At 49.6% G+C, this 18,589-nt stretch overlaps 1 protein-coding gene across 4 annotated transcripts, besides 5 other annotated features; it reads left to right on the forward strand.

Moving 5' to 3' along the window:
• The first annotated feature begins 2,563 nt into the window (after positions 1-2,563).
• SLC61A1 (solute carrier family 61 member 1) lies at positions 2,564-5,773 on the forward strand. 4 transcript variants are annotated; one of them, XM_005269197.2, is made up of 3 exons: positions 2,564-2,991; positions 3,072-3,402; positions 4,185-5,773. In XM_005269197.2, exons 2-3 carry the CDS (start codon positions 3,100-3,102, stop codon positions 5,553-5,555), a joined length of 1,674 nt encoding a protein of 557 aa, XP_005269254.1. In that variant the 5' UTR covers positions 2,564-2,991; positions 3,072-3,099; the 3' UTR covers positions 5,556-5,773. The 4 variants fall into 4 exon arrangements, with proteins under 4 accessions (XP_005269254.1, NP_001164261.1, NP_116278.3 ...); NM_001170790.2 differs by having other exon boundaries at positions 2,953-3,402; NM_032889.5 differs by lacking the exons at positions 2,564-2,991; positions 3,072-3,402 and adding an exon at positions 3,462-3,635.
• Positions 3,125-3,174: an enhancer, noted in NCBI's record as "active region_6405". NCBI's record gives its function as "activates an Ori minimal core promoter by ATAC-STARR-seq in GM12878 lymphoblastoid cells {active_cell/tissue: GM12878}" and the evidence as "EXISTENCE:reporter gene assay evidence [ECO:0000049][PMID:35858748]".
• Positions 3,308-3,979: an enhancer, noted in NCBI's record as "H3K27ac-H3K4me1 hESC enhancer chr12:53645725-53646396 (GRCh37/hg19 assembly coordinates)". NCBI's record gives its function as "activates a minimal SCP1, AML or CMV promoter by ChIP-STARR-seq in naive H9 embryonic stem cells {active_cell/tissue: H9 hESC(naive)}" and the evidence as "EXISTENCE:reporter gene assay evidence [ECO:0000049][PMID:30033119]".
• Positions 3,445-3,724: a silencer, noted in NCBI's record as "silent region_4502". NCBI's record gives its function as "represses an Ori minimal core promoter by ATAC-STARR-seq in GM12878 lymphoblastoid cells {active_cell/tissue: GM12878}" and the evidence as "EXISTENCE:reporter gene assay evidence [ECO:0000049][PMID:35858748]".
• Positions 3,735-3,784: a silencer, noted in NCBI's record as "silent region_4503". NCBI's record gives its function as "represses an Ori minimal core promoter by ATAC-STARR-seq in GM12878 lymphoblastoid cells {active_cell/tissue: GM12878}" and the evidence as "EXISTENCE:reporter gene assay evidence [ECO:0000049][PMID:35858748]".
• Positions 7,613-7,812: an enhancer, noted in NCBI's record as "active region_6406". NCBI's record gives its function as "activates an Ori minimal core promoter by ATAC-STARR-seq in GM12878 lymphoblastoid cells {active_cell/tissue: GM12878}" and the evidence as "EXISTENCE:reporter gene assay evidence [ECO:0000049][PMID:35858748]".

Below are 18,589 nucleotides of genomic sequence, written 5' to 3' on the forward strand. Positions count from 1 at the left end.
GCATGCACCACCATGGCCCGGCTATTTTTTTTGTATTTTTTGTAGAGATGGGGTTTTGCCATGTTGGCCAGGCTGGTCTTGAACTCCTGGCTTCAAGAGTTCCGCCCACCTTGGCCTCCCAAAGTGCTGGGATTACAGGCGCAAGCCACCACCCCTGGTCAGAAATCATGATTTTCTATCTTAGTGTTTCTAGATGAAAGCATGGGAACCATCACCCCTTTCTACTTTCCACTAGTTTGCCAGCTAGGGATGAAAGCGCTTTGGAACTTGTAGGGCGTAAATCAGCTGTTTTATCATAAGAAAGTATTTCTCCAGGCTGGACACGGTGGCTCATGCCTGTAATCCCAGCACTTTGGGAGGCCAAGGAGGGTGGAACCCTTAAGGCCAGAAGTTCAAGACTTTTTTGGGACAGGGTCTCACTCTGTCCCCCAGGCTGGAGTGCAGTGGCATGATCTCGGCTCACTGCAACCTCTGCCTCCTGAGTTCAAGAGATTCTCCTGCCTCAGCCTCCCAAGTAGCTGGGATTACAGGTGTGTGCCACTATCGCCCAGCTTTTTGTATTTTTAGTAGTGATGGGGTTTCACCATGTTGGCCAGGCTGGTCTGGAACTCCTGACTTCAAATAATCCACCCACATTGGCCTCCCAAAGTGCTCGGATTACAGGCGTAAGCCACCATGCCTGGCCAAAAGAAAGTATTTCTCCAGATGTAATCCCAAACCCTCCTACCCTACCTCTAAGCTTTAGTATAAAAAAAAAAAAAAACCAACAGGCCGGGCGCGGATCCCCTAAGGTTGGGAGTTCGAGACCAGCCTGACCAACGTGGAGAAACCCTGTCTCTAAAAAATACAAAATTAGCTGGGGGTGGTGGCGCATGCCTGTAATCCCAGCTACTTGGGAGGCTGAGACAGGAGAATCGCTTGAACCCGGGAGCCGGAGGTTGCAGTGAGCTGAGATCACGCCATTGCACTCCAGCCTGGGCAACAAGAGTGAAACTCCGTCTCAAATAAAAAAAAAAAAAGACTGATCTGCTGCGCAAGTAGGTGAACTAGTATAATTGCAGAAACTATGTGAGCTTGGAACTGGAAAGATTGGGTCCTGCTTCTAACTGCCTTTTACTATGTAACTCTAAACATGTTACCTAACCTTTCCAACTCTGGTTAGTACCTACTGTATGGATTGTTGTCAGTCAGATGAGATAATTCACCTACAGCAGTTGGACTAAACCTTCTTAAAACTCCTTAGGTACATAATAACTGATAAGTGTTATTATGTTAATATGGGCCAGTACTTTTGATAGTAATTTACATAACTTATTCATTTATTCATAGACTATTTATGGAATATTTATGATTAATACTTATCAATGACTGCTTTAAGTATAGGGAATACAGGTGAACAAAACAGATAAAAATCTGTAGGGAAAGAGATAGTAAATATTTACTTATTTACTTAGAGACGAAGTCTTGCTCTGTCCCCTAGGCTGGAGTGCAGTGGTGTAATCTTGGCTCACTGCAGCCTCCGCTTCCCAGGTTCAAGCAATTCTCGTACCTCAGCCTCCTGAGTAGGTGGGATTACAAGCGCGCACCACCAGGCCCAGCTAATTTTTTTGTTTATTTGTTTTGAGACGGAGTCTTGCTCTGTTGCCCAGGCTGGAGTGCAGTGGTGCAATCTCGGCTTACCGCAACCTCTGCCTCCCAGGTTGAAGCAATTCTCCTGCCTCAGCCTCCAAAGTAGCTGGGATTACAGGTGCACACCACCATGCCCAGCAAATTTTTTTGTAATTTTAGTAGAGACGGGGTTTCGCCATATTGGCCAGGCTAGTCTTGAACTCCTGACCTCATGATACGCCCGCCTCGGCCTCCCAAAGTGCTGGGATTACAGGTGTGAGCCACCGCGCCCAGCAATTTTTTGTATTATTAGTAGGCATGGGGTTTCGACATGTTGGCCAGACTGGTCTTAAATTCCTGGCCTCAAGTGATTCACCCACCTTGGCCTCTCAAAGTGTTGAGATTACAGGTGTGAGCCACCACACCTGGCCAAGATAGTAAATAAATAAACAAGGAAAATACATAGTGTACTGCAGAGTAAAAGCAGCAGAGAGAATAGAAAATTGGAAGGAAAGTAGGTAGATTACTGTGCTGGAGGTGGTGGTGTTGCTATTTTAAACAGGAGGGCCATGGAAGGCCCCTCTGATCAGGTGACATTTTTTAAAATTTTATTTTATTTTTTATTTTTTTGTGAGACAGAGTCTCGCTCTGTCACCCAGACTGGAGTGCAGTGGCGTGATCTTGGCTCACTGCAACCTCTGCCTCCCTGGTTCAAGCGATTCTCCTGCCTCAGCCTCCCGAGTAGGTGGGATTACAGGTGCCCACCACCATGCCTGGCTAATTTTTATATTTTTTTACTAGCGACGGGGTTTCACCATGTTGGCCAGGCTGATCTTGAACTCCTGACCTCAACTGATCGGCCTGCCTCAGCCTCCTAAACTGCTGGGATTACAGGAATGAGCCACCAGGCCCAGCCAAGATCAGGTGACATTTGAACAGAGAACTGGAGGAGGTGGGGGGGGGAACCACGTGGATATCTTGGAGAAGAACTGTACAGGGAACAGTGTGCAAAAGCCCTGGTGGTAGCCAACATAGATGGGAGGGAGAGGAGCAGGGGATGAAGTCAGAGGAGTGGCAGAGGGTCAGAGGACAGAGGGTCTTGTAGGCCATTATAAATACTTCGGCTTTTACCCTTAGTGAGATGGGAAGTCATTGGAGGCTCTTGAGGAGATGATACGGAAGCTGTAGAGAGGTTAAATAGTTTTTCCAAGGTAAAACAGCTTGTAAGTGGCAGAAGGTAGGGAATTAAGCTCCAAGGCTGAAGTTCTTAACCCCATGCTGCCACTGAACTTTAGCCTTCTTTATTTGGGCATTGCTATCCTGTGACTTCAAAGAAACTGGGACACTGGGAAGTTATGCGGCTTGCCCAAGGCCACACAGCTGGTAAGTGACAGGGGCAGGACTGCGCCTTAGTCTGTCTGCAGCCCGACTCCAAGTTCTTTACACCACACCGCCTCCCTCAGGTGTCTGGACCATACTGGCTTCTCTTGCATGGAGGTCACTGCAGTGGGAGAGGAGGCAAACCAAGGAGACCTTCTCGGCTTCGGGCAGCGGTGCTGTTCCTTAGGAAGCTCCAACCCTTGGCTCTACCGGACTGCGGGCATCTTTCCCGAGCACTGCACGGAAGAAAAGAAAATTGGCACTTATTTCAGGGTGGCCCCTCAGGCATCCAAGAGCCAGAGGAGCAGGTGTCACGGGATGGCAGCGAGCGAGGCCAGGCCAGGAGAAGCAACCGCAGCCTCCTATGGTCGCCCCTTCCCGACCCACCCCAGGCGTCAGGAGTTCCGCGCCCGGGTAAGGGAAGGAGGGCGGGCGGGCGGGGCGGGGCGGGGTTTTGGCGCCGCGCCCCCGTCACGTGATGAAGCCATCATGGCGGCGGCCAGAGGCCTGCCCGGCTCCCGGAAGCAGGCTGTGAGGGGCGGGAGCGCTGCTGGAACCCGAGCCGGAGCCGGAGCCACAGCGGGGAGGGTGGCCTGGCGGCCTGGAGCCGGACGTGTCCGGGGCGTCCCCGCAGACCGGGGCAGCAGGTGAGGCGGAGTCTGGGCGAGGTGCAAGTGGATGTGGCAGGGCTGGGCAGGGGCTAGGGGGCGCAGTGGGGTGCCAGTGACCTGGAGGAGTGGGCCTCTGAGATGCACACGCATGACCCTGAAGCAACTCGAGAGGCCTGCGCGGGTGGGAGGGATGCCCGGGACAGAGGATGAGACACTGAGGGCAAAAAGAGGCTCCGCAGCGAGGACGGGAGGTAATAGAAGGAAGTGTACGGGAGCTGCTGTGGGAAAGGGCAGTAGAATTTGCGGGAGCGGGATTATTGAAAGGGACTCCCTCTTCACAGGCAAGGATGGGTTGAGTGCCCAGTCCTCTCCCCTGTCTTCTTACCCCTCCCTGCCCCACAGTGTCCTAGGAGACAGCTTTGGCGTGGCCACTCCTCCCACCCACCCAACTGGTCCCTCCGGTCTGAGATCTTGGGGAGTGGAGTTGGCAGCGGGGTTGGGTGGAGCTGCCATCTGCTTAAGACAGCCCCTTGACCGTGCTGCCCGAAGGATGGATATGGCTCTGACTCCCACCTCTCTTCCCAGGTCGTCCGGGGGCCCACCATGCTGGTGACTGCCTACCTTGCTTTTGTAGGCCTCCTGGCCTCCTGCCTGGGGCTGGAACTGTCAAGATGCCGGGCTAAACCCCCTGGAAGGGCCTGCAGCAATCCCTCCTTCCTTCGGTTTCAACTGGACTTCTATCAGGTCTACTTCCTGGCCCTGGCAGCTGATTGGCTTCAGGCCCCCTACCTCTATAAACTCTACCAGCATTACTACTTCCTGGAAGGTCAAATTGCCATCCTCTATGTCTGTGGCCTTGCCTCTACAGTCCTCTTTGGCCTAGTGGCCTCCTCCCTTGTGGATTGGCTGGGTCGCAAGAATTCTTGTGTCCTCTTCTCCCTGACTTACTCACTATGCTGCTTAACCAAACTCTCTCAAGACTACTTTGTGCTGCTAGTGGGGCGAGCACTTGGTGGGCTGTCCACAGCCCTGCTCTTCTCAGCCTTCGAGGCCTGGTATATCCATGAGCACGTGGAACGGCATGACTTCCCTGCTGAGTGGATCCCAGCTACCTTTGCTCGAGCTGCCTTCTGGAACCATGTGCTGGCTGTAGTGGCAGGTGTGGCAGCTGAGGCTGTAGCCAGCTGGATAGGGCTGGGGCCTGTAGCGCCCTTTGTGGCTGCCATCCCTCTCCTGGCTCTGGCAGGGGCCTTGGCCCTTCGAAACTGGGGGGAGAACTATGACCGGCAGCGTGCCTTCTCAAGGACCTGTGCTGGAGGCCTGCGCTGCCTCCTGTCGGACCGCCGCGTGCTGCTGTTGGGCACCATACAAGCTCTATTTGAGAGTGTCATCTTCATCTTTGTCTTCCTCTGGACACCTGTGCTGGACCCACACGGGGCCCCTCTGGGCATTATCTTCTCCAGCTTCATGGCAGCCAGCCTGCTTGGCTCTTCCCTGTACCGTATCGCCACCTCCAAGAGGTACCACCTTCAGCCCATGCACCTGCTGTCCCTTGCTGTGCTCATCGTCGTCTTCTCTCTCTTCATGTTGACTTTCTCTACCAGCCCAGGCCAGGAGAGTCCGGTGGAGTCCTTCATAGCCTTTCTACTTATTGAGTTGGCTTGTGGATTATACTTTCCCAGCATGAGCTTCCTACGGAGAAAGGTGATCCCTGAGACAGAGCAGGCTGGTGTACTCAACTGGTTCCGGGTACCTCTGCACTCACTGGCTTGCCTAGGGCTCCTTGTCCTCCATGACAGTGATCGAAAAACAGGCACTCGGAATATGTTCAGCATTTGCTCTGCTGTCATGGTGATGGCTCTGCTGGCAGTGGTGGGACTCTTCACCGTGGTAAGGCATGATGCTGAGCTGCGGGTACCTTCACCTACTGAGGAGCCCTATGCCCCTGAGCTGTAACCCCACTCCAGGACAAGATAGCTGGGACAGACTCTTGAATTCCAGCTATCCGGGATTGTACAGATCTCTCTGTGACTGACTTTGTGACTGTCCTGTGGTTTCTCCTGCCATTGCTTTGTGTTTGGGAGGACATGATGGGGGTGATGGACTGGAAAGAAGGTGCCAAAAGTTCCCTCTGTGTTACTCCCATTTAGAAAATAAACACTTTTAAATGATCATTGATTTGATTTACTCATCCTTACCTGTAGCCTTATCAGTAGTTTCTGGTGAGTGGGCAGCTAGAGGTTTTTTTTTTAGTTTTTTTTTGTTTTGTTTTGTTTGTTTTTGTTTTGAGACGGAGTCTTGCTCTGTCGCCCAGGCTGGAGTGCAATGGCGCGATCTTGGCTCACTGCAACCTCCGCCTCCCGGATTCAAGCAATTCTCCTGCTTCAGCCTCCCAAGTAGCTGGGATTACATGTGCCTGCTACCATGCCCAGCTAATTTTTGTATTTTTAATAGAGATGGGGTTTCATGTTGACCAGGCTGGTCTCGAACTCCTCACTTCAGGTGATCCACCCACCTCGGCCTCCCAAAGTGTTGGGATTACAGGCATGAGCCACCACGCCCAGCCCAGCTAGAGGTTTTGAGGTGGGATTATCAGCAAAAGTTTTCTGTTTCTAACTTCTCCAAGGCTGTCTCCAGTTCAAACTGAGAACTATGGAATTGCTCTCAGCAGAGCTGTGTGGGAAGGGCCTGAGGCTTCTAGGTCCTCCACATTCCTCTGTTGTGGGACAGGCACTCCCCCCAGTTGTCAAGCAGAACCCTTGCTTACATCCAGGGTAAGATGATCTCCAGAGCACATGGAGTAGATGCCCCATATGCCAGGCCACTGAGCAAAGATTCCAGGGGCTTGGGCTGCTGCTGTGACCACTCCTTGGGCAAAGCCAGGGCCCTTCCTACCAAAGTAAGCTTGCAGCTCAGCACAGGCCTGCTGCCTCCCTTTTGCCTCTGTGGCTATGAATGCACCATTTGTCCAACATCATCTGGGTCTACCAGATCCTGTATCCCTGTGTGAAACCGAAGTGAAAGGCTGCCAAGGGGACAGAGTGGTGCATGGCTGAGGGACTAGGATGTCTTATCTGTACCTGACTGTCCCCAACCCAGCCTGAATGAGGGTGAGGGAGCCATCAGGGCAGGAAACAGTACTAGTGAGCCAGTTCTGTGGGTGCCTCCCTGCCTCACCTCTGATTGTATCTGCCTTTCCTCCTCCCACCAAAACCTGGGCTTCTCAGGGGAAGCACAGCCAGCTTTAAGAAGGGTGGGGAGGGAAGGAGGGTAGGCTCAAGGATGTGTCCTGGAATGTGCTTGAGATGGGCATGGGGGACACATACCCTTTCTGGAAAGGGGTTAATGACCTTTCCTTGGGTCCCAGACTACTCAGAAAGATGCAGGATGTTCCAAGACCTGCAGGTCCCAACCTGTGTGGAGAGATAGCATCAGCAGGTGCTGGTGGAATGCAGGGTGGAAGGGCTTCTGCAGGGTGAGGCCAAGGGGAGGAATGGGTGGTGGTCTCAGGTCCCTACTCAGACTAGGAAAAAACATGTTCCCCCACCCAGGCTTCAGGGAATAGAGGTTGAGGTTAAGTAAGAAAAACACATATCAGCCAGGTGTGGTGACTTACACCTGTAATCCCAGCACTTTGGGAGGCCCAGGAGTTTGAGACCAGCCTGGGCAACACGGCGAAACCCCGTCTCTACAAAAAATACAAAAATTAGCTGTGCGTAGTGGCATGTGCCCATGGTCTGAGTTACTTGGGAGGCTGAGGTGGGAGGATCAATTGAGCCTGGGAGATCGAGGCTGCAGTGAGTGATAATTGAGACACGCCACTGCACTCCAGCCTGGGCAACAGAATGAGACTGTCTCAAAAAACAAAAAAAAAGAAAAGGCATCTTTTCTACTACCCCCCTACTCCTGCCACCCATCATCTCAAGACTAAAGACAGTCTTGCAATAACTCCACTTCCTCTTTCTGCCCTGTTGGGCTAGACCTAGATATACTTTATAGTTATTTGTAGATGTTCCGTCTCAAGATCATGCTATGATCTTGAGGGGAAGAGGAAACAGTCTTACTCACCTTTATCTCCTGCATATATACACACAATTGGATGCTTTCCCCATGGCTGTGCTCAGTACATATCTGGAGAGGAGACAGGCTAGCTCACACCTGGCTTTTCAGGAGACACTTGGTGATTTGTTGTTTTGGATGACAATATCATTATTATCGGTTTTTGTTTTATTTTGTTTTTGAGATAGGGTCTCGCTCTGTCGCCTAGGCCAGAGTGTAGTGGCAGGATCATGGCTCACTGCAGCCTCGACCTCCTGGGCTCAAGCGATCCTCCCACCTTAGCCTCCCAAGTAGTAGGGACTACAGGCAGCACCACCATACCCAGCTAATTTTTTAAAAATTTTTGTAGAGACAAGGGTCTATGTTGCCCAGGCTCATCTGAAACTCCTGGGTTCAAGCCATCCTCCCTTCTCAGCCTCCCAAAGTGCTGGGATTACAGGTGTGAGCCACCACACCTGGCCTGACAGTAATTATTAGTGGCCCTCACATTCCTAAGTGATATGGAAATAGAGGGGTAGGGGAGACTAATGAGATTCCTTTAGCTTTGTCCCTGATGAGCTTGCTTCAAAGGGGCTGGTGGCAAATAGAGTGGAGAGTGTTCTTTCCTGTCAGACTCACAGCGTGTTAAGAGCTGGAAGGCATCTTAGAGATTATCCATTTGGCCTTAAACATTTTTTATTGAGCACCTGCTATGCCGTGTGTTTTACCGCTAGGTACTGGTGATATTTTTATTTATTATTTTATTTTATTTTATTTTTTAAGATGGAGTTTCGCTCTTGTCACCCAGGCTGGAGTGCAGTGGCACAATCTCGGCTCACCACAACCTCTACCTCCCAGGTTCAAGCAATTCTGCCTCAGCCTCCCAAGTAGCTGGGACTACAGGCGTGCACCACCACGCCTAGCTAATTTTTGTATTTTTAGTAGAGACAGGGTTTCACCATCTTGGCCATGCTGGTCTCAAACTCCTGACCTCATGATCCACCCGCCTTGGCCTCCCAAAGTGCTGGGATTACAGGCATGAGCAACCGTGCCCGGCCTATTTATTTATTTTTTTGAGATGGAGTCTCGCTGTATTGCCAGGCTGGAGTGCAGTGGCACCATCTCGGCTCCGAGGTTCAAGTGATTCTCCTGCCTCAGCCTCCCGCGTAGCTGGGACTACAGACACACCCCACCGCACCCAGTTAATTTTTAGTAGAGACGAGATTTCACCATGTTGGCCAGAATGGTCTTGATTTCTTGACCTCGTGATCCACCCGCCTCAGGCTCCCAAAGTGCTGGGATTACAGGCGTGAGCCACCACACCTGGCCTTATTTATTTATTTATTTATTTATTTATTTATTTTACCCAAGAGGAAAATCCACTTAAAGAAAGCAAATAACTTGCCTAAGGGCATGTAGCAAGTGAGTGATAAAACTAAGACTAAACCTTGCCTCTTTTTGCCAACCCAGTGCCCCCTCTATGACACATGCTGCCTCTGTCCCATGGGACTTCACTTACCTGTTTTTTTAGCCTCCAGCCCTGCTTCCCCACCCAAAGCTCTGTCCCTGGAGAACAGCAAGAGAGTAGGAGTATTTGGCTGTCTGATCCACTTAGGGGTATCTATCCAGATTATTCAAATGAGGGACTGGTTCACCAGGTGCATACTCCCTGCGAAATGCTGCTCATGATGCTCCACCAAGAGGCCCCATAGGGAAGTGATTAAAAATGTGGATCTGAGGGCCGGGTGCGGTGGCTCACACCTGTAATCCCAGCACTTTGGGAGGCCAAGGCGGGCGGATCATGAGGTCAGGAGATCAAGACTATCCTGGCTAACACGGTGAAACCCTGTCTTTACTAAAAATACAAAAAATTAGCCAGTTGTGGTGGTGGGCGCCTGTAGTCCCAGCTACTTGGGAGGCTGAGGGAGAAGAATGGCATGAACCCGGGAGGTGGAGCTTGCAGTGAGCCAAGGTCGCACCACTGCACTCCAGCCTGGGCGACAGAGGGAGACTCCACCTGGAAAAAAAAAATGTGGATCTGGCCGGGCACAGTGGCTCACTCCTGTAATCCCAGCACTCTGGGAGGCCAAGGCAGGTGGATCACCAGAGGTCAGGAGTCGAGACCAGCCTGGCCAACATGGTGAAACCCGTCTCTATGATAATACAAAAATTAGCCAGGCATGGTGGTGGGCGCCTGTAATCCCAGCTACTCGGGAGGCTGAAGCAGGAGAATCGCTTGAACCCTGGAGGCGGAGGTTGCAGTGAGCCGAGATCATGCCATCATGCCATTCATTGCACTCCAGCCTGGGCAACAAGAGTGAAACTCCATCTCAAAAAAAAAAAAAAAAAAAGCCCAACTGCCTGGTTTGAATCTGGCTCCACAACTCTGTGCCTCAGTTTCCTCATCTGTGAAATGGGGAGGATAGTATAGTTTCAACCCCTAAGGGTTCTTGTGAGGATTAAATGCGTCATTGTACTTAAGTGCTTAGAACAGTATTTGGCCCACAGTATAAGCACTACATAAGTGTTTGCTTTTATATTTTATTTTTTAACTTCTCCAATCCAGCTGAGCCTATCTAGATTTGAGTGTGGGAATGAGTGGACAGGACTGTAATGGGGTGTAGAACTTCCCAATGCATCTTAGTGATTGGGGGATTCCCAGCAGCGTTTATCCTCAGTACTGGCCCAGATGGAATTATCGAGCTATTTGAGAAGGCTTCTACTCTGGGATATGTGAGCATCTGAGCTGGGTGTCAATGTGTTCCACTTGAACTCATTTCCTCTTCCTCTAGTGGGAAAGTCAGCTTGGGGTTAGACTGGATACAACCACCATCTTTCACTAAGAGGCTCCTGATTTTCTGAATTTCCATCCAGCTGGAAACATGATTATTTGATCTGGAGCTTTTAAGCGATCCTGAGGAGAAAAGAGAAACATCCTGGGGACCCAGGAGCCAATGAACGAGGAGGCAGGAGGACTGGGGCAGGAAGACAGTACAGGGTTCTGAGGCCTGGAGGATGACCTCTTCCTGGAAATTCAGTCCCTGCCCTGGGAGGGGAGGGGGCTGTTCCCGGCTAATGGTCAGCTGAGTCTAGGTCCTCTCCTTATCGCTCTTCCCCTAACCCCAATCCTGTGGTTTTCCTGCCCTTTTTATTATTTGCTGCCACTACCTCCCCATAGAACCACAGATTGGAAATGTAACACAAACAAATGTCATGCTTGAGATCAGATCTGATGTTATAAAAATACCTCACATTTACTTTAACTGTTTTTTTCATAAAGTTATATGGTCTCATTGTAAAATGGTCAAATGCAAATACAGAAATGCATATTTTATATACATATGTGAATATCAGTATGTGCTAATTACGTTATAGTAGTATATTAAAATACATATATTTGTATTGCTATATAAATATATAGTTGACGCTTGAACAACAGCAAGCCACTGACCCATGGCGCAGTTCAAAATCTGAGTATGGCTTTTTCTTTTTTTTTTTGGGGGGGACAGGGCCTCCCTCTTTCACCCAGGCTGGAGGGCAGTGGCACAATTTTGGCTCACTGCAGCCTCAGCCTCCTGGATTCAAGCAATTCTCCTACCTCTGCCTCCCCAGTAACTGGGACTACAAGGTGTGCGCCATCATGCCTGACTAATTTTTGCATTTTTAGTAGAGATGGGGTTTCACCATGTTGGCCAGGCTGGTCTCAAACTCCTGATCTCAAGTGAGCCGCCCACCTTGGCCTCCCAAAGTGCTGGGGTTACGGGAGTGAGCCACCATGCCCGGCTTTTTCTTGAGACTGAATCTTGCTATGTCACCCAGGCTGGCCTCCAACTGCTGAGCTCAAGTGATCCTCCCACCTCCACCTCAGCCTCCAGACTGGCTGGGACTACTCAAACACCACCGTGCTTGGCATTTTTTTTTTTTTTTTGCCTTCTGTTGCTGCCTCTGAAAATAATTCATTTTTTTTCTTTTTCGTTTTAAGACAAGGTCTTATGTCACCCAGGCTAGAGTGCAGTGGCACGATAACAGTTCACTGCAGCCTCGACCTCCTGGGCTCAAGCAGTCCTCCCACCTCTGAGTAGTTGGGACTACAGGTGCACACCACCACACCTAGCTAATTTTTTTTTTTTTTTTTTTTTGTAGAGAAGATGGTCTCACTATGTGACCCAGGCTAGTCTCGAACCCTTGAGCTCAAGCAGTCCTCCCACCTCAGCCTCCCAAAATGTTGGAATTACAGGTGTGAGCCACTGTGCCTGGCCTGAAGATAATTCTTTAAACTTACTTTAATTTTTCACTTTTTTTTTTTTTTTGAGATGGAGTCTTGCTCTGTCGCCCAGGCTGGAGTACAGTGGCCCGACCTTGGCTCACTGCAAGCTCCGCCTCCTGGGTTCACACCATTCTCCTGCCTCAGCCTCCCAAGTAGCTGGGACTAAAGGCTCCCGCCACCATGCCCAGCTAATTTTTTATATTTTTAGTAGAAATGGGGTTTCACCGTATTAGCCAGGATGGTCTCGATCTCCTGACCTCATGACTCACCCGCCTCGGCCTCCCAAAGTGCTGGGATTACAGGCTAATTTTTACATTTTAAAAAAATTTTTATTTATTTATTTTTTTGAGACAGTCTCACCCTGTCACCCAGGCTGGAGTGCAATGGCATGATCTCAGCTCACTGCAACCTTCGCCTCCTGTGTTCAAGCAATTCTTCTGTCTCATCCTACCAAGTAGCTGGGACTACAGGTGCACGCCACCACGTCCAGCAAAATTTTTGTATTTTTAGTAGAGATGGGGTTTCACCTTGTTGGTCAGGCTGGTCTCGAACTCCTGACCTCAGGTGATCTACCTGCCTCAGCCTCCCAAAGTGCTGGGATTACAGGTGCGAGCCACCGCGCTCAGCCACTTTAGTTTTTTTAGAGATGGAGTCTCATTCTGTTGCCCAGACTGGAGTGCAGTGGCAAGGTCATAGCTCATGGGAGTCTTAAACTCCTGGGCTCAAGCAATCCTCCCACCTCAGCCTCCTGAGTAGCTATGACTACAGGCATTGGAGCAACCATGCCTAGCTAAGTTTTAAATTTTTTATAGAGATGGAGTCTTGCTATGTTGCTTAGGTCTCAAACTTCTGGCCTCAAGTGATCCTCCTGCCTCTGCCTCCCAAGTAGCTGGGATTATAGATGCAAGCCACCATGCCCAGTGATTGTGTATAACTTTTTTTTTTCTAAGACAGACTCTCTCTCTGTTGCCCAGCTGGAGTGCAACGGTGTGATCCTGACTCTGCAACCTCCACCTCCCAGCTTCAAGCGATTCTTCTGCCTCAGCCTCCCGAGTAGCTGGGATTACAGGTGTGTGCCACCACGCCCGGCTAATTTTTGTATTTTTAGTAGAGACGGGGTTTTGGCAAGTTGGCCAAGTGATCCACCTGCCTCAGTCTCCAAAGAGCTGGGCTTACAGGCGTGAGCCACCGTGCCTGGCCTTTTTTTTTTTTTTTTTTTTTGAGAGGGAGTTTCACTCTGTCGTCCAGGCTGGAGTGCAGTGGCACAATCTTGGCTCACTGCAACCTCCGCCTCCTGGGTTCAAGCGATTCTCCTGCCTCAGCCTCCCGAGTAGCTGAGATTACAGGCATGCACCACCACACCTGGCTATTTTTGTATTTTTAGTAGAGATGGGGTTTCAGCATGTTGGCCAGGCTAGTCACGAACCCCTGACCTCAGGTGATCTGCCCACCTCGGCCTCCCAAAGTACTGGGATTACAGGCGTGAGCCACCATGAGCCTGACCACGTATAACTTTTGACTTCCTAAAAACCTAGCTACTAATAGCCTACTGTTGACCTGAAGCCTTACCAATAAATCGTATAAACAGCCAATTAATACATATTCCGTAATATGTATGATATTCTATATCCTTACAATATATATTTTTTTCTTTTTTTGAGACGGAGTCTCGCTCTGTCGCCCAGGCTGGAGTGCAGTGGCGCAATCTCGGCTCTCTGCAAGCTCCGCCTCCCGGGTTCATGCCATTCTCCTGCCTCAGCCTCCCGAGTAGCTGGGACTACAGGCCCCCGCCACCACGCCCGGCTATTTTTTTTGTATTTTTTAGTAGAGATGGGGTTTCACCGTGTTAGCCAGGATGGTCTCGATCTCCTGACCTCGTGATCCACCTGCCTCGGCCTCCCAAAGTGCTGGGATTACAGGCATGAGCCACCGCGCCCAGCCTTATATATATATTTTCGAGACGGAGTCTTGCTGTCACCCAGGCTGGAGGGCAGTGGTGTGATCTCGGCTCACTGCAACCTCCGCCTCCCAGGTTCAAGCAATTCTCCTGCCTCAGCCTGCCGAGTAGCTGGGATTACAGGTGCCCACCACCAAGCCCGGCTAATTTTTGTATTTTTAGTAGAGACAGGTTTCACCATGTTGGCCAGGCTGGTCTTGCACTCCTGACCTCGTGATCCATCCACCTCAGCCACCCAGCGTGCTGGGATTACAGGCGTGAGCCACTGCACCTGGCCAAGAACATGTTATTAAGAAAATCATATGCCAGGCAAGGTGGCTCATGCCTGTAATCCCAGCTCTTTGGGAGGCCAAGGTGAGCGGATGACTCAAGGGCAGGAGTTCGAGACTGGCCAACATGACAAAACTCCATCTCTACAAAAAATACCAAAAAAATTAGCTGGGCATGGTGGCTGATGCCTGTAATCCCAACTACTTGGGAGGCTGAGGCAGCTGAATTGCTTGAGCCCAGGAGGCAGAGGTTACAGTGTGCAGAGATTGTGTGTGCCACTGCCCTCGAGCCTAGAAAAAAGAGTGAGACTCTGTCTCAAAAAAGAAAAAAGAAAATCATAAGGACTCTTATCATAAGGAAAATATGTTTACTACTCATTAAGTGGAAGCAGATCATCATCTTCGTTGTCTTCACATTGAGTAGAATGAGGAGGAGGAAGAGGAAGGGTTGGTCTTATTATCGCAGCAGTGGCAGAAGTGGAAGAAAATCCTCACGTAAGTTCACCTGTGCAGTTCAAGCCCATATTGTTCAAGAGTCAACTGTACTTTAAATATACATATATGCATGTAGAAATATAAAACGTAAAAAATGACAGGCTCCCTTAATCCTGCTCATCAGAGATTACTACTATTAAATGTTTTGGGTCTAGACCAGCAGCAGATTTAATATCAAAGCTTTTTTTTTTTAGACAGAATCTCACTCTACTCACTCTGTCACTCAGGCGGAGTGCAGTGGTGTATTCTCGGCTCACTGCAACCTCTGCCTCCCGGGATGAAGAAATTCTTGTGCCTCGGCCTCCCAAGTAGCTGGGATTACAGGCATAAGCTACTACACCCAGTTCATTTTTGTATTTTTAGTAGAGATAGGGTTTTGCCATGATGGCCAGGCTGGTCTTGAACTCCTGGCTTCCAGTGATCCGCCTGCCTTAGCCTCCCAAAGTCCTGAGATTACAGGTGCGAGCCACTACACCTGGCCAGTCTTTTTTCTTTTTTCTTTTTTTTTAACAAAAATTGGATCATACCGTTCATATTTTTCTGCAACTTGTTTTTTATATATCTTATTTTTCTTTCCTTAAAAGTCCACAGGAAGACTGTAACAGTCATTCATGCATCTCTGACATCTTTATATGATGATATGCTTGATATAGGACATGCTTTTTTATTTTATTGTTATTTTATTATACTTTAAGTTCTGGGATACACGTGCAGAACGTGCAGGTTTGTTACATAGGTATACACGTAACATGGTGGTTTGCTGCACCCATCAACCCGTCATTTACATTAAGTATTTCTCCTAATGCTATCCCTCCCCTAGCCACCCATCCCTCAACAGGACCCCGTGTGTGATGCTCTTCTCCCTGTGTCCATGTGTTCATTGTTCAACTCCCACTATGAGTGAGAACATGCGGTGTTTGGTTTTCTGTTCTTGTGTTAGTTTACTAAGAATGATCGTTTCCAGCTTCATCCATGTCCCTGCAAAGGACGTGAACTCATCGTTTCGTATGGCTGCATAGTAGTCCATGGTGTATATTTGCTATTATTTATTTATTTATTTACTTATTCATTTATTTTTGAGATGGAGTCTCGCTCTGTCGCCCAGGCTGGAGTGCAGTGGCACGATGGCCCTTGGCTCACTGCAAGCTCCGCCTCCCAGGTTCACGCCATTCTCCTGCCTCAGCCTCCCAAGTAGCTGGGACCACAGGCGCCCGCCACCACGCCCGGCTAATTTTTTGTATTTTTAGTAGAGATGGGATTTCACCGTGTTAGCCTAGATGGTCTCAATCTCCTGACCTCGTGATCCACCCACCTTGGCCTCCCAAAGTGCTGGGATTACAGGCGTGAGCCACCGCGCCTGGCCAATTTTTTTTTTTTTTTTGAGATGGAGTCTCGCTCTTGTCACACAGGCTAGAGTGCAATGGCACAATCGCAACTCACTGCAACCTCCACCTCTGGGTTCAAGCGATTCTCCTGCCTCAACCTCCCAAGTAGCTGGGATTACAGGTGCCCACCACCATGCCTGGCTAATTTTTTTTTTTTTGAGACAGGGTCTCACTCCAGGCTGGAGTACAATGGCATGATCTCGGCTCACTGCAACCTCTGCCTCCCGGGTTCAAGCGATTCTCCTGCCTCAGCCTCCGAAGTAGCTGGGATTATAGGTGCCCACCACTATACCCGGCTAATTTTTTTGTATTTTTATTAGAGATGGGGTTTCACCATGTTAGTCAGGCAGGTCTCGAACTCCTGACCTCAGGTGATCCGCCCGCCTCGGCCTCCCAAAGTGCTGGGATTACAGGCGTGAGCCACCGCGCTTGGCCTCATGCTTTATTTTTTTTGAGCTGGGTTCCTGCTATGTTGGCCAGCCTGGAGTGCAGTGGCTATTCTCAAGTGAAATCATAGCTCACTACATCCTTGAAGTCCTGGGCTCAAGCAATCCTCCTGCCTCAGCCTCCTCCCAGCCTCAGCCTCCTGAGTAGCTGGGATGTTAGGCATGCACCATCACATCCAGCTATTATTTATTTATTTATTTATTTTTGGTAGAGACAGGGTCCCACTATGTTGCCCAGGCTGGTCTCAAACTCCTGGGCTCAAGGGATCCTCTCACCTCGGCCTCCCAAAGCGTTGGGATTATAGGTGTAAGCCACTATTCCTGGCCAAAACATGTTTTTTTTTTGTTTTTTTTTTTTTAAGACAGAGTGTCGCTCTATCGCCCAGGCTGGAGTGCAGTGGCGCGATCTCAGTTCACTGCAAACTCTGCCTCCCAGGTTCACGCCATTCTCCTGCCTCAGCCTCCCGAGTAGCTGGGACTACAGGCGCCCACCACTGCGCCCGGCTAATTTTTTTGTATTTTTAGTAGAGACGGGGTTTCACTGTGTTAGCCAGGATGGTCTCAATCTTCTGACCTCGTGATCCACCCGCCTCAGTCTCCCAAAGTGCTGGGATTACAGACCTGAGTCACCGCGCCACACGTTTTTTAATGACTGCCATCATCGTTAGGGTCTTCAAGGCTATCTGAGGCCTTCTTCTATTTGAGGCTAAAAGAACTCCTGGAGGTAGTGAGGCTTGATGTTACTGTCCCCATTTCACTGAGAAGGAACAAATTAGAACTGGCACTAGAACCTGGCTCCTCTGTCCTGTCTCATTTTCAAAGCTCTTTCCATCATCCTGTGCTGCCTCTATAAGTTTGTGATTCACATGAGGAAATAATGTGACTCAAGTTCGTATTAGTCAGCATTTATTGATCTGTTGATACTTAAAGTACTTCTTGTAAGAAGTAGAAAATAAAAAAGAAAAAAGAAAACAAAAGCAAAACAAAAAACAAACAAACAAGAAATAAAAAATAATAAGCTCTCTGCCCTTGAGGAGTTTAGAATTAAGTAGGTATGATAGGCTGGGCATGGCCAGGCACGGTGGCTCATGCTTGTAATCCCGGCATTTTGGGAGGCTGAGGCAGGTGGATCACTTGAGGTCAGGAGTTTGAGACCAGCCTGGCCAACATGGTGAAACTCCGTCCCTACTAAAAATACAAAACATTAGCTGGGCATGGTGATGGGTGCCTGTAATCCCAGCTACTTGGGAGGCTGAGGCAGGAGAATCACTTGAACCCGGAGGCAGAGGTTGCAGTGAGCTGAGATCACGCCATTGCACTCTAGCCTGGGTGACAAGAGCGAAACTCCGTCTCAAAAAAAAAAAAAAAAAAAGGCTGGGCATAGTGGCTCACGCCTGTAATTGTAGCACATTGAGAGGCTAAGGCCGGAGGATCACTTGAGCTCAGGAGTTCAAGACCAACCTGGGCATCATAGTGAGACCTCGTTTCTATCTTAAAAAAAGAAGAAAAAAGTAGGTATAATAAAATACGTTGGGAAAAAGTCCTAGAATGCTTGCTAAACAATAGGTAAATGAACACTGATAGCTAAGGTGTAAGCAAGAGGAATTGAGTACTGTGATGAATAATTTTCTTTTGGGTTTTTTTTGTTTGTTTGTTTGTTTTTTGGTTTTTTTTTTTTTGAGACAGAGTCGTCTCGCTCTGTAGCCCAGGCTGGAGTGCAGTGGCGCGATCTTGGCTCACTGCAAGCTCCGCTTCCCGGGTTCACGCCGTTCTCCTAGCGCAGCCTCCCGAGTAGCTGGGACTACAGGAGCCTGCAACCACGCCCGGCTAATTTTTTGTATTTTTAGTAGAGACGGGGTTTCACCATGTTGGCCAGGATTGTCTCGATCTCCTGACCTCGTGATCCGCCCGCCTCGGTCTCTCAAAGTGCTGGGATTACAGGCGTGAGCCACCGCGCCCGGCCTTTTTTTTGGTTTTCTTTTTTGAGACAGAGTCTTGCTCTGTCACCCAGACTGCAGTACAGTGGCGGGATCTCAGCTCACTGCAACCTCCGCTTCCCGGGTTCAAGCGATCCTCCCAAGTAGCTGGGACTACAGGCCCCCGATGCCACAGCAGCTAATTTTTGTATTTTTA

This window comes from Homo sapiens, chromosome 12 (genome assembly GCF_000001405.40).
Source record: "Homo sapiens chromosome 12, GRCh38.p14 Primary Assembly".
Classification (NCBI taxonomy): domain Eukaryota; kingdom Metazoa; phylum Chordata; class Mammalia; order Primates; family Hominidae; genus Homo; species Homo sapiens.

Bases quoted from the DNA above. Each gene is read 5' to 3' on its own strand.
- SLC61A1 (XM_005269197.2), top strand. From the start codon at position 3,100: ATGGAGGTCACTGCAGTGGGAGAGGAGGCAAACCAAGGAGACCTTCTC. The intron at 3,403-4,184 runs GTAAGGGAAGGA...CTCTCTTCCCAG, and splicing joins GTCAGGAGTTCCGCGCCCGG to GTCGTCCGGGGGCCCACCAT.